This window comes from Homo sapiens, chromosome 9 (assembly GCF_000001405.40).
Source record: "Homo sapiens chromosome 9, GRCh38.p14 Primary Assembly".
Taxonomy (NCBI): Eukaryota; Metazoa; Chordata; class Mammalia; order Primates; family Hominidae; genus Homo; species Homo sapiens.
The window spans coordinates 136,639,887-136,653,036 of NC_000009.12; the positions used below are offsets into that span (position 1 = coordinate 136,639,887).

Below are 13,150 nucleotides of genomic sequence, written 5' to 3' on the forward strand. Positions count from 1 at the left end.
CACCCGCCTTGGCCTCCCAAAGTGCTGGGATTACAGGCGTGAGCCACCGCACCTGGCCACTTTCTTTTTTTGAATAGTAACCATCCTAATGAGCCTGAGGGGACATCGAGCTGTGGTTCTACTTAACTTCTGAACAGAGGGAATACAGCAAAAACGACTGCTTCAATGCCCACCTCTGCTCATTCTCACATCTGTGTCAACTTTGGGATGGTTTTACCTTTTTTTTTTTTTGTCATAGAGACAGGGTCTTACTATGTTGCCCCATCTGGTCTTGAACTCTTGGCCTCAAGTGATCCTCCACCTCGGCTTCCCAAAGTGCTAGGATGACAGGCGTTAGCCACCGCACCCAGCCCTGGGATGGTTTTGATTACATCATTTTTCTCATCATGGGTCCCGTTCTCCTGCTTTTCCCATTGCCTGGCAGGTCCTCTTCCTTTGGACGCCAGTCCTTGTGAATTTCACCTGGCTGGGTGCCGGGGATTTTTGTCTTCCTGGAAATCTTCAGCTTTGTCCTGGACGTGCGGTTAAGTGATCTGGAGGCAGTTTGATCCTTTCTAGTCTTGCTTTTATGGCTTGGTAGGAGGGCTCAGAGCACAGCTCGGGCTCAGGCTGATCGTCCCCCGCCGAGGCAAGCCCTTCCCAAGGGCTTCACCCAAGGCCCCGTGAGTTACGAGATTTCCTGCTTGGCTGATGGGGAGAGACACTGTCCTCAGCCCTGCAGGAGTCGGGCCCTGTTCCCTCTCATCCTTCCGGGTGCCTTTTTACCCACCCTGGGGAGTTTCCTTATGGGGATCCGCAGGGCCATGCTCTTCCAAATACTCCAGGGGTCCCATCCAGGTCTTCAGGGTCCCTCTCTGTGCGACCCTCTCCACTCTGGTACTGTGTCCATGAACTCGAGCCGCCTCGGTCTGTCCAGCCTCGGGGGTCCACTGGGACCTGCGTGGGTTCCGCCTTCCCACCCACAGCCTGGACTGCCTCCCAGGGCAGTGAGCACGGGTGACTAGGGCACGGCTGTTCCCATCACTCAGGGTTACTGTCCTCTAATGCCTGGTGTCCCGTGTCTTGGAAGCCATGTGTCTGCGTTTTGTCTGGTTTTGTTTTGCTTTTTGGCTGTTTCGGGTAGGAGGGTAAGTCTATGACATCCCGCCTCAGCTGGACGGAGAAGCTTTTCCTAGAGTAATGGAAATATTCTCAATGTGGTTTTGGATGGTGGCTCCGCAGGGTCTGCAGTGGACACACTCGCTGACCTCATGCAATCCGGCGACTCTGCTGCAGATGCTGGGACTCGTGGGCCCCCACCGTCGGGGGAGCCGGTCCCCATAAACTCTGCCGTCGCGGGGGCCGGTCCCCGTAAACTCCACCGTCGCGGGAGCCAGTGTCTGTAAACTCCACCATCGCGGGGGCCGGTCCCCGTAAACTCCACCGTCGCGGGGGCCGGTGTCCGTAAACTCCACAGTGCACTCACAGTGCACGCCCAGAGAGCAGCAGCAAGGGGGCTCAGCAGGTGATAATTTTCTGGAGAAAAGAAAGAAGTGGCCTGGTTGGTTCCCCATGCCTAAGATTGGGCCTCCCGGCCCCTCAGCCTGGTGCCCTTGAGCATCTGTCCCTGCCTGACCTGGGGCTGTCACTCACCCACCAGCTCCTCCCTGTCTGCTGTGCCGCACAAGCCTACCCCACACACCAGACAAGACCTCCTCTTTTCCCCCACGTTTTCCATGAATGTTTGCACACAAAGGCTCAGTTCAGGGCCTATTAACTAAAAATTTTTAATGTTTATATTTTTATTTTTATTTTTTTGTTGAGAAAAGGTCTCACTCTGTCACCCAGGCTGGAGTGCAGTGGCACAAACACAGCTCCCTGCAGCCTCCTCCCGAGCTCAAGTGATTCTCCCACCTCAGCCTCCCAAGTAGCTGGGACTACAGGCAGCACATTGGCCAATGTTTCAATGTTTTTGTGGAGATGGGGTCTTGCTGTGTTGCCCAGGCTGGTCTCAAACTCCTGGGCTCAAGCGAGTCTCCCCCCTCAGCCTCCCAAAGTGCTGGGATTACAGGCATGAGCCACCACACCTGGCTGTGTTTTTTTAAATTTTAAAAGCAATGTGTGCACTTAGTTTAAAAGTTTCCCCAAGACATAGAGAAAATAGCAACTCCAACTCCAGAAGTGATCACTTAAAATTCCTTTTTTTTTTTTTTTTTTGAGACAGAGTCTCGCTCCCTTGCCCAGGCTGGAGTGCAGTGGCGCCATCCCGGCTTACTGCAAGCTCCGCCCCCCAGGTTCACGCCATTCTCCTGCCTCAGCCCCCCAAGCAGCCGGGACCACAGGCACCCGCCACCAAGTCCGGCTAATTTGTTTTATTTTTTAGTAAAGATGGGGTTTCACCGTGTTAGCCAGGATGGTCTCCATCTCCTGACCTTGTGATCCACCCGCCTCGGCTCCCCAAAGTGCTGGGATTACAGGCGTGAGCCACCGCGCCTGGCCCACTTAAAATTCTTTTAGCCAACTTAGCTCTTCTAGCCGGCATTACTCCCTATTTTGAAATAATATGCTCATCATGCAGGTCCTTGAAGCTTCCTGTTGACTTCCTACCAGAAGATGAGGATCTCACTTTCCCGTCTCTCCTGGCCAGTGCATGCCCTTCTCCCCTCCCACCTTCAAACAGACGACGGATCCTGAATTCTTCACACGGATAGTCAGCACTTGCATTAATATAACTCTGTAATTGTTCACTCTTGAGCCAAGTACTATATGATAAATGCATTTCCTTTTTATAACTTTTTGTTTTTCCTGGAATTCAAAGTTGCTTCCTTTTTCACTTGCTTAGTTAGAATATTGGTTAAGTTACTGAGGCAAAGAACCAAAACAACAGGAATCTAAACATGATAGAGTTGGTTTCTCCCTCACATGAAAGTCCCGAGGCTGATGGGCTTCCCTGCCGCTCTCAACACGTGGCTGGCTCAGGACCAAAGGGGCTGCTCCACCTCTCACCATCTCCCTGCCTGCAGGAGGGAGGGAAGGGTCAACAAGAGAGTGACCCTGGCCAGGCACGGTAGCTCACACCTGTAATCCCAGCACTTTGGGAGGCCGAGGCAGGTGGATCACAAGGTCAGGTGTTCGAGACCAGCCTGGCCAATATGGTGAAACCCCAACTCTACTAAAAATACAAAAATTAGCTAGGTGTGGGGGCGGGCACCTGTAGTCCCAGCTACTTGGGAGGCTGAGGCAAGAGAATCACCTGAACTTGGGAGGTAGACCTTGCAGTGAGCTGAGATCACACCATTGCACTCCAGCCTGGGCAACCAGAGTGAAACTCTGTCTCAAAAAAAAAAAAAAGGAATAAAAGAAAAAGTAAATAAAAACCAACCACCTTCAATCTGATAATTCTGGGCAGAAAACTGAATATAGTTTGGACCAGATCTTCGAGAAAAATTCATATACACCAAATTAACTAGTTCTGTTAAAAGGCTGCTATAAAAATACACATCATCATGAGATATACAGAACTTTAGAATCCAGCTAAGAGTGGAGAAATACTGAATTTCTTAATTTATCTGGAGGGGGCTGTAAATCCAAAGGTAGAAGGGCATTTCAGCGTTCTGGCGTGTTCTGAGATTCTAGGGTATAGTATCTCCCATACACACAGAGGGCATTTTGAAGGTGGCTACGGCCAGGACACCTCGGGTGGGTTCTCCTGGAGAATGACCCTTTCTTTTAATGGGAAGATCCGGAAGTGACACCTCCCACTCCTGCTCTGGTCCCATTGACCAGAACTTGGTCACAGGCTAAGTTAGAGTCTGCAAGGAGGCTGGGAGACGTGGTCTTTAGCTGGACAGCCTTGAGCCCGGTGAAACCCCTTTTACCGTGAAATGGGAGGGCACAGCTTGGGTGACGATCAGAGGTCGCCGCGGCACGGGTGGTCCTCACCCAAGCTCTCCCACGGAGCCGCAAGGCTCGTCCCCGTGTTCTCACACGCATCAGGTCATCACTCCTTTCCATTTCTTTTCTTGAAGGCATCTCCTGGCCTCCTGGAGACTTTGCCCCACCCGTCTCCTCTGGACTGGCCACTCTGGTCACTCTGACAGCCTCCCTTCAGCTGTGACGCTGCCACTTCTTCTTTCAGTCATCACGGGAATGCCCCCTGTGGGTTTTCCACATTTGAATCCCAGAGATTCGGCAGCCGGCCCCTCCCCAGAAGATCGCGGGGACCTACTGCCCCTGCAGAATCCCTTGGCCTGCCCCAAAGCCGGCAAGCAAACCCTCACCCCAAAGCGTCTGGCATTCCCTGGTCACCTCAGGACAGCCCAGCCTGCCATCCTCCCCGATATGCAGGCCGTGCCGCCGTGTGACTCGCAGGATTCAGGAGTCAGGGGGCCAGAGTCGGCAGCCAGGCTTTCCCTGGAGGCTGTGCCCAGAGCTCCTCAGAGTGTGAAATGTGGTGACAGCGGTGCCCGCTGGCTGCTTGCAGGATCCTGGCAGTGACCCGCGGGCAGGGCCCCCCCGGACGGCCCCCTGCGGAGGGCGCAGCCTTGCAGGTGGGGTCGGAGCACAGGGTCCCAGGGTCCCAGGCCCCACTTCCCAACCAAGCCAGGTCCTCTCTCCGCCCCTCTCCTCGAATCTTAAGAGCCTTTGGAGAGAAGCCACGCAGGGCGGGACGCACAGGCTGTCAGGGTGGGAGGGGTGCGTGTCCCACGTGCAGGGAGCCCCGCCCAAGGCTGGCAGCAGCAGGGTAGAGGCCACTGGTCCGGGGCAGCTTCCGCGGGGAAACACCGCCGCGCTGTGAGCATTGGGGGAACTGCAGCCGCCGCCCCATCTGCCGGCTGCGGGTCGTTGGGGGGGCCCCATGCCAACGGCCACGGAGGCCAAGGACCCCCGGAACCCCTCGGCCTTTGTCCCAGGAGAGGCTCCTCACACCCTCGGTGCCAGGGCCCTGGGAGCCCGTGAGACCAGGGTTCTCCCTGCTCAGACTCTTCCTGTGGCCTGGAGGGGACAGTGGGGGTGACAGGCACTGACCACCAGGCAGGCAGCAGCCAGGCAGAGCCTGGGGTGTGAGGACACAGAGGTGACCAGGTGCTGAGCCCCTCCCTGATGAGCTCAGCACGGAGGTGGGAGCCCCTGACCCTTTCCCAGGGCTCTGAGTCAGCCTTGGAGAGTGTGGCGTTGAGCCTGGCCAGAGGTCAGCAGATGGCGGGCGGCTGGCGCTGGGGCCCCGGCTCTGCAGAAGGGTCAGGCCCCAGCACACCCGGGCATTTCCTGTGCAGCCCCAGATGGGTGAGGTCAGCTGAGAAGGGGAGAGGCCACAGGGGACTTCCTCTATCCTCTCAAATTAGCGGAGGCAGGGCCCCGGGCCGGGCCAGGGCCTAGGGCGGACGTGCTCTGGATATGGCAGCCTCTCCTCTCCCACCCCCCAAGGAAGCGCCACTCAGCTACAGCCCCAGCCCCAGTTGATGGGTGGGAAACTGAGGCACAGCCAGATCCACAGATGACAATGGGCCCGGTCGGCGACTGCAGGTGGCCCTGCGCTCTCTGGCCTGCAGGTCACAGGCTCCAGCCACGGCCAACAGAAAAAGACTCTCACGGCCTGGCTCACCCACTGTCAGTCAGGGACGCAAAGGTCCCTCTCACAGCAGGGCCACGACCTGAATCTAGCCACTGGGCTCAGGATGCCTCCCCGGGAGGCAAGCGAGAGCCCTGTCACCACGGAACAGGTTAGAGGGGCACAAGCCTCTGTGGGCCTCTCCCACGCCCCCCACCCCCCACCCCCCGTGCTTCTGCAGAAGTGGGGGCCTGCAGGGGCTCTGGTGCCTTCCCACAGCAGGTGTCATCAGGGCAGGAACACAGTCCCCACCGCCTACCCATGGGTTTCACGTGCTGGGGGCAGTCATCACCCCAACCTCAAGAAGCCAAGAGGACTGGATGTGGCCCCAGCACCCCACCAGCAGCCATGTCCTCCCAGGGAGGGAGCATGACTTACGCCTGGGGCAGAATAGGCTGCAGGGCCTGCTGGGAAGCCGTTCCCGGACCCCAGCTCAGTCCTCCGGCAGATTCACTCAGAGGAAGGTAGCACTGGTGACCTGGCCGGTGCTAGGCCCCCAAGCCCGCCCGCCAGCGTTCTTCAAGTCTGCACGTCCGAGGGCGGGAGGGAGCATGGACCCTGTCAGCCCCACCCTGACTGGGGTGGCCCCATATCCACCAGAGGGCAGCTGGGCCCAGTCCGGGCCATCCCCTTCGGGAGCCAGCACAGCAGGAGGGCCCCTTGTCAGCCAGAGCCTGGGTGGACGGCAGAGCCCCCGGGGCCGCCTCTGGACTGAGTTTGTGCCTCACCTAGCTGGGGCCTGACCTCGAGAGGTCACTGTTGCCCTGGGCCTCAGTTTCCCCATCCAACAGGTGGGGAGAGCGTTAGCACCCACATCACGGCGGCCCCACAGATCAGTGCAGCGTGAAGTACTCAGCTAACCCTCCAGACCCCGGAGGCTGGGCCTCCCACCCCGCTGCCCCTGACCCATCCTGCACATCTGCCCCCACCTGGCTCCGCTCGCTCCCCTTGCTCCCCTCAGCCTCCCGTCCCGCTGGGTGGGGGCCTCCAGCGCCTCCGCCTCCGCCTCCGGGCTTCCAGGCAGGAAGGCGGCGGAGAGGAGCGTTTCCGCGCAGGCTGCTGTGCTGGGAGTGCAGCCTGTGATAAGGACACACATGGCCGGCTGCACGTCCGCCTTTTGTCCCTGGCTCCCGCCAGCCCTTCCTGCTCCGGCCTGCAGGGTGGGGACTATGGGCCCGGCTGCAGCCCTCCCCCGACCCCCACCTCCACTCTGCCCCTGGCTCCACAGCCCCTGGGGTCCTGGCTGCCCTGGGGGAGTTTGAGGCCCCCAGTAGCAGCTACGGCTGGGGCCCCGGACAAACTGGGGGTGTAGGAGCTCTAGGAAATCAACCCCAGGGAGGCTGCTACGGCTAAACAGAAGCATCAGCCCCAACCCAGCAGGGCCAGATGTTCTGCTCTCCCTCCCCCAGTTTCGGCTGCCGGGAGGGTCCCCACCGAGAGTCCCCCCCGACTCCTGCACAGGCCTAGCCACAGGCTCCCTCCCGGGCTGGACCGACCACTCTCCTGCTTGAGGTCCCAGAGAGGCGCTGGCCTGGCCCGGCCCATGTGCCCCACAAACACCCCTGGCTGCTCCTCCGGCATCTGTCTTAAAGTGCCAGCCCAGCGTGAGCCCCGCATCAGCTACCGAGAGGTATCCATCCTTACCCCCGACTGCCCATGGTGCCTACGCGGCAACCTCACAACCGGTCTGCTGAGCTGGGTGGAGGAGAGGTTCCACCCACCCCAGAAGGAGTCCACTCCCATCCCCTAAACTCCAGGAGCTGCCCTTGGCTGAGGAAGGACTGCAGAGGGCACGGGGCAGGCTGAGCCCAGGGTGGCAGGGGCTGCATGGTGCCCGGGATGCCTGGCAGGAGAGAGACCCGCAGCCCAGAAGGCTTCCTCTCCAGGACTGGGGGCCCCTCAGTGCTCACACTTCCCACTAACTGCCAGCATCCCCTACAACATGGCCCACGTCTCAAGGGATTGGAAGGAGCCCCCGCAGAGGCCATCGGCACGGACTAGAATGCAACCCAGTGGGGCATCCACCGATGTGGTCAAACGCTCAGCCAAGATGGTGGGAAGCGTTCAGGTCTGAGGCATTTCTTCTTTTTCTTGAATAACACCTTTATGGCTGGCCACGGTGGCTCATGCCTGTCATCCCAGCACTGTGGGAGGCCGAGGCGGGCAGATCACCTGAGGTCAGGAGTTTGAGACCAGCCTGGCCAACATGGTGAAATGCTGTCTCTACTACAAATACAAAAATTAGCTGGGTGTGGTGGCGGGCGCCTGTAATCCCAGCTACTAGGGAGACTGAGGCAGGAGAATTGCTTGAGCCCAGGAGGCAGAGGTTGCAGTGAGCTGAGATCGTGCCACTGCATTCCAGCCTGGGAGACAGAGTGAGACTCCACCTTGAAAATAAAATAAAAATAACAGCTTTATTAAGAAATCATTTATATACCATACAATTCACCCATTTAAAATGTACAATTCAGTCCGGGCTCGGTGGCTCATGCCTGTAATCCCAGCACTTTGGGAGGCTGAGGCGGGTGGATCACCAGGTCAGGAGTTTGAGACCAGCCTGGCCAATATGGTGAAACCCTGTCTCTACTAAAAATACAAAAATTAGTCGGGCGTGGTGTTGGGCACCTGTAATTCCAGCTACTCGGGAGGCTGAGGCAGGAGAATCACTTGAACCTGGGAAGCAGAGGTTGCAGTGAGTTGAGATCGCGCCACTGCACTCCAGGCTGGGCGACAGAGGGAGATTCTGTCTCAAATAAATAAAATAAAATAAAATAAATAATAATAATAAGCGGGCGCAGTGGCTCACGCCTGTAATCCCAGCACTTTGGGAGGCCGAGGCAGACGAATCACCTGAGGTTGGGAGTTCAAGGCCATCCTGACCAACATACAGAAACCCCATCTCTACTAAAAATACAAAATTGAATGGGCGTGGTGGTGCATGCCTGTAATCCCAGCTGCTCGGGAGGCTGAGGCAGGAGAATCACTTGAACCCGGGAGGTAGAGATTGTGGTGAGCTGAGATTGCACCATTTCACTCCAGCCTGGGCGAAAAGAGTGAAACTCCGTCTCGAAAAAAAACAGAAAGAAAGAAAAAAAAGAAAATAGTAATAATAATAATAAAACGTACAATTCAGTGGGTTTGAGTAATAATTACATCATTAATTCTTTAAAATTATCAAATTATACATAACATAATTTGCCATTTTTTCCATTTTTTTCCAGACAGAAGTAACTTCTAAAACATTGCTAGGGAAACGCTCTGACATCTTCCGTAGAGGTGAAAAAGCACAGGTCTGACTCAGGTAGCTGCGAGTTCAAGTTCAGCCGCAGGCTCTTCCCCAAGGTGCTGGTCTTCGCAGGAACCCCTTGCAGGCAGCTGCAAAGAGCAGCACGGCGCGCACACACAGGGTCCGGCTGGCGTCTGGCCAGAGCAAGGGAACAGTAAGTGTGTCCTGGAGGCGCTCGCCATGCACTCACACGCCATCTGTGGATTCGGAAGTGACCTCCCCCTCGGTTGATGAGGGTTCTCTGCGTCTGGAGAACACAGGACGTCCACAGGAAAGTTCTCCCTCCTGCACTCCCGGCTGGCTCTGAAAATTATGAAGTAAGTTGAATGCTCTGAGGGCTTAATTCCATCTGCCCAACTTTTACATAAAACAAGGAAGTTGAGCCCAGTTTAGGGGAAGAATGTACAGAGCACCAGGAGGCAGGGTCTCCTCTGAAGTCTTTTTTTGGACCGAATCTCACTCTGGCCCAGGCTGGAGTGGAATGGCATGATCTCGGCTCACTGCAGCCTCCACCTTCCGAGCTGAAGCAATTCTTGTGCCTCAGCCTCCTGAGGAGCTGGAATGACAGGCATGCGCTACCATGCCCGGCTAATTTTTATATTTCTAGTAGAGATGGGGTTTCACCATGTTGGCCAGGGTGGTCTCGAACTCCTGACCTCAGGTGATCCACCCACCTCAGCCTCCCAAAGTGCTGGGATTACAGGCGTGAGCCACTGCGCCCGGCCTCTCCTCTGAAGTCTTATTGCCTACGTTTTTTTTTTTTTTTTAACAATTAGGCATTGTATTTTATATTCTTTTCTTTCCCTAGTGCACTGACTACTTATTTTATTTATTTTTTTGTTATTGTTGTTGTTTTTTAAGACAGAGTCCCACTCTGTTTCCCAGGCTGGAGTGCAGTGGGGCAATCTCGGCTCACTGCAACCTCTGCCTCCCAGGTTCAAGTAATTCTCCTGCCTCAGCCTCACAAGCAGCTGGGATTACAGGTGCCTGCCACCAAGCCCGGCTAATTTTTGTATTTTTAGTAGAGACGGGGTTTTGCCATGTTGGTCAGGCTGGTCTTGAACTCCTGACCTCAAGGGATCTGCCCACCTTGGCCTCCCAAAGTGCTGGGATTACAGGCGTGAGCCACCACGCCCTGCCTGTTTGTTTTTTAATTGACAAACGTGGTACATATTTATGGTACATGGCACGTTATGGTCTATGTGGACATTCGGGAACAGCTACGTCGAGCCAGTTCATACCTACATCACCTCCCGTGCTTACCTTTGTGGTGATGAGAAAGACTCTCTCGGAAATTTTCAAGAGCACAGTGCCTTTATTCACTCAAGTCGCTGGGTGTCCCATAGATCTTGGCACCGACTCCTCAACTGAAACTTTGTGTCCCATAGATCTTGCACTGACTCCTCAACTGAAACTTTGTGTCCCATAGATATTGCACCCACTCCTCAACTGAAACTTTGTGGCCTTCCGCCAACATCTGGCCACCCCGCCCCGCCCACCCCTGGGAGCAACTGCCCCACTTTCTGCTTCTAAGCTCCACTATTTCACACTCCACATATGAGTGAGAGCATGTGGGATTTGTCTTTCTGTGCCTGGCCTATTTTACTTAAGATTGTGACCTTAGGCCAGGCGCAGTGGCTCACGCCTTTAATCCCAGCACTTTGGGAGGCCGAGGCAGGAGGATCACCTAAGGTCAGGAGTTTGAGACCGGCCTAGCCAACATGGTGAAACCCCATCTGTACTTAAAAAAGTACTAAAAAATTAGCCGGGTGTGGTGGCGGGCCCCTGTAGTCCCAGCTGCTCAGGAGGCTGAGGCAGGAGAATTGCTTGAACCGGGAGGCAGAGGCTGCAGTGAGCCGAGATTGTACCACTGCACTCCAGCCTGGGCGACAGAGTGAGACTCTGGCTCAAAAAAAAAAGATTGTGACCTCCAAGTTCACACATGTGATCACAAGTGACAGGTCTCCTTGCTGAAGGGTGAACAGTGCCCCGCTGTGTGTATCCGCCACACTTATTCATCCATGCATGCACTAACTTTGTTTCTTGGCTATTATGAACAGCGTGCGACGCCCGTGGCCTGCAGCTATCTCTTAGACACATCGATTTCATTTCCGTTAGGTCTATACCCAGAAGAGGGATTGCTGGGTTACATGCAATGTTTAATGTTTTGAGGAACCTCCACACTGCTGTGCCACTTTAGCCATTTTTAGGTGTCCCTCAGGGGAATTCTATTCACAATAGGGTGCGATCACCACCACTATCTATGTCCAAAACTTGTTCATGCTCCCAGAGTGAAACTCCACGCACCTCAGGTGTGTGTCCCCGTTCTCTCCTCCTGCGGTCCTTGGTAACCACTAAGCTGCTTCCTGTCTCTATGGCCCTGCCCGCTGTGGACATCTCTTGTCAATGGAATCACTCAGGGCTCGTCCATGCCGCAGCTCCTGCCAGGGTGTCATTCCATTTTTTTTTTTTTTTTTTTTTTTTGAGATGGAGTCTTGCTCTGTCGCCCAGGCTGGAGCACAGTGGCGTGATCTCGGCTCACTGCAACCTCCACCTCCCGGGTTCAAGCAATTCTCATGCCTCAGCCTCCCAGGTAGCTGGGATTACAGGTGCGAGCCACCATGCCCAGCTAATTTTTGTATTTTTAGTAAAGACAGGGTTTCACCATGTAGGTCAGGCTGGTCTTGAACTGCTGACCTCAGGAGATCCGCCCGCCTCGGCCTCCCAAAGTGCTGGGATTACAGGTGTGAGCCACCGCGCCTGGCCTAGTGTTAATTTTTTTTTTTTGAGACGGAGTCTCGCTCTGTCGCCCAGGCTGGAGTGTAGTGGCGCAATCTCAGCTCACTGCAACCTCTGCCTCCGGAGTTCAAGCGATTCTCCTGGCTCAGCCTGCTGAGTAGCTGGGACTAAAAGCGCGCACCACCACACCCGGCTAATTTTTGTATTTTTAGTAAAGACGGGGTTTCACCATGTTGGCCAGGCTGGTCTCAAACTTCTGACCTAAACTGATCCTCCTGCCTCAGCCTCCCAAAGTGCTGGGATTACAGACGTGAGCCACCACCCCGGGCCTCATTCCTTTTTTTTTTTTTTTAATTTTTTTTTCCCCTTTTTAAATATTTGAGACAGGGTTTTGCCAAGTTGCACAGGCTAGTTTTGAACTCCTGAGCTCAAACAATCCACCATTCTTGGCCTCCCAGAGTGCTGGGATTACAGATGTGAGCCACCGCCCCTGGCCAGAGCTTCATTCCTCTTTACGGCTCAGCAGTGTCTCACTGTACGGATGGGCCTTGGCTTGTCAATGCACTCATCCGTGGATGCGCATCCGGGTCTATCCACCTCTCGGCTCCTGTGAGCACAACGCTGTGTGTACATTGCGCGTCTGTTTGAATCCCTGCTCTAGGGGAATGTACCTAGCGTGGAGTTTTGGAGACTGTGGTAATCCTATGTTGAGTCTTGTGAGAAGTGGAGGGACCCTTTCTTTGTTTGTTATTATTTTTAAATTTTTTTCCAAACTCTCTTCTCTCTGAAATTAAAATGTGTTCATATAAACTGTGGCCCTGGAGTTGGGCGTGGTGGCGTGTGCCTGTTATCCCAGCTACTCGAGAGGCTGAGGCAGAGAATCACTTGAACCACAGAGGCGGAAGTTGCAGTGAGCTGAGATTGCGCCGCCGCACTCCAGCCTGGGTGACAGAGTGAGACCCTGTATCAAAAAATAAATAAATAGGCCGGGTGCGGTGGCTCACACCTGTAATCCCAGCACTTTGGGAGGCCGAGGCAGACAGATCACGAGGTCAGGAGATCAAGACCATCCTGGCTAACACAGTGAAACCCTGTCTCTACTAAAAATTTAAAAAATTAGCCAGGTGTGGTGGCGGGTGCCTGTAGTCCCAGCTACGTGGGAGGCTGAGGCAGGAGAATGGCGTGAACCCAGGAGGCAGAGCTTGCAGTGAGCTGAGATCGTGCCACTGCACTCCAGCCTGGGCGACAGAGCCAGACTCCATCTCTAAATGAATGAATGAATGAATGAATGAACCATGGCCCACTCAGACTGTGGACTCCTACGAAGCAGTACTGAGTCACAGACACACACAGCACTGACCAACCCTAACCCATCACGGCCACGCGCAGTGGCTCACACCTATAATCCCAGCACTTTGGGAGGCCAAGGCAAGCGGATCACCTGAGGTCAGGAGATCGAGACTGTCCTGACCAACATGGTGAAACCCCATCTCTACTAAAATTAGCCGGGCATGGTGGTGTACACCTGTAATCCC

At 55.2% G+C, this 13,150-nt stretch overlaps 3 long non-coding RNA genes across 4 annotated transcripts in view, besides 8 other annotated features; 1 reads left to right on the top strand and 2 right to left on the bottom strand.

Moving 5' to 3' along the window:
* On the bottom strand, positions 1 to 4,590 carry LOC105376325 (uncharacterized). Its single transcript, XR_930446.4, has 3 exons — positions 4,260 to 4,590; positions 3,858 to 4,135; positions 1 to 1,515 (listed from the first exon to the last, which is right to left on the bottom strand). It is a non-coding gene; the product is annotated as an uncharacterized LOC105376325 (long non-coding RNA).
* Positions 4,437 to 7,146: a transcriptional cis regulatory region, noted in NCBI's record as "candidate enhancer chr9.4291 targeted for multiplex CRISPR interference". NCBI's record gives its function as "positively regulates EGFL7 gene expression in K562 cells {active_cell/tissue: K562}" and the evidence as "EXISTENCE:mutant phenotype evidence [ECO:0000015][PMID:30612741]".
* Positions 4,437 to 7,171: a biological region, named in NCBI's record as "CRISPRi-validated cis-regulatory element chr9.4291". NCBI's record gives its function as "regulatory_interactions: EGFL7".
* Positions 4,504 to 4,553: a silencer, noted in NCBI's record as "silent region_20531". NCBI's record gives its function as "represses an Ori minimal core promoter by ATAC-STARR-seq in GM12878 lymphoblastoid cells {active_cell/tissue: GM12878}" and the evidence as "EXISTENCE:reporter gene assay evidence [ECO:0000049][PMID:35858748]".
* Positions 4,824 to 4,953: a silencer, noted in NCBI's record as "silent region_20532". NCBI's record gives its function as "represses an Ori minimal core promoter by ATAC-STARR-seq in GM12878 lymphoblastoid cells {active_cell/tissue: GM12878}" and the evidence as "EXISTENCE:reporter gene assay evidence [ECO:0000049][PMID:35858748]".
* Positions 5,777 to 6,474: an enhancer, noted in NCBI's record as "H3K27ac-H3K4me1 hESC enhancer chr9:139540115-139540812 (GRCh37/hg19 assembly coordinates)". NCBI's record gives its function as "activates a minimal SCP1, AML or CMV promoter by ChIP-STARR-seq in naive H9 embryonic stem cells {active_cell/tissue: H9 hESC(naive)}" and the evidence as "EXISTENCE:reporter gene assay evidence [ECO:0000049][PMID:30033119]".
* Positions 6,114 to 6,163: a silencer, noted in NCBI's record as "silent region_20533". NCBI's record gives its function as "represses an Ori minimal core promoter by ATAC-STARR-seq in GM12878 lymphoblastoid cells {active_cell/tissue: GM12878}" and the evidence as "EXISTENCE:reporter gene assay evidence [ECO:0000049][PMID:35858748]".
* Positions 6,475 to 7,171: an enhancer, noted in NCBI's record as "H3K27ac-H3K4me1 hESC enhancer chr9:139540813-139541509 (GRCh37/hg19 assembly coordinates)". NCBI's record gives its function as "activates a minimal SCP1, AML or CMV promoter by ChIP-STARR-seq in naive H9 embryonic stem cells {active_cell/tissue: H9 hESC(naive)}" and the evidence as "EXISTENCE:reporter gene assay evidence [ECO:0000049][PMID:30033119]".
* Positions 6,774 to 6,963: a silencer, noted in NCBI's record as "silent region_20534". NCBI's record gives its function as "represses an Ori minimal core promoter by ATAC-STARR-seq in GM12878 lymphoblastoid cells {active_cell/tissue: GM12878}" and the evidence as "EXISTENCE:reporter gene assay evidence [ECO:0000049][PMID:35858748]".
* LOC102724193 (uncharacterized) overlaps positions 6,798 to 13,150 on the top strand; it is a 7,413-nt gene continuing 1,060 nt past the window's right edge. The window contains exons 1-2 of one of the 2 annotated variants that reach the window (XR_930443.3): positions 6,798 to 7,658; positions 8,812 to 9,193. This is a non-coding gene — a long non-coding RNA (uncharacterized LOC102724193). Of the gene's footprint in view, positions 7,659 to 8,811; positions 9,194 to 13,150 lie in introns of those variants that run through there. The other variant, XR_007061867.1, reaches the window with a different exon arrangement.
* The window catches only part of LNCEGFL7OS (lncRNA EGFL7 opposite strand), an 11,812-nt gene continuing 7,385 nt past the window's right edge, over positions 8,724 to 13,150 (bottom strand). The window contains exon 2 of the long non-coding RNA NR_135132.1: positions 8,724 to 9,179. This is a non-coding gene — a long non-coding RNA (lncRNA EGFL7 opposite strand). The remainder of the gene's footprint in view (positions 9,180 to 13,150) is intronic.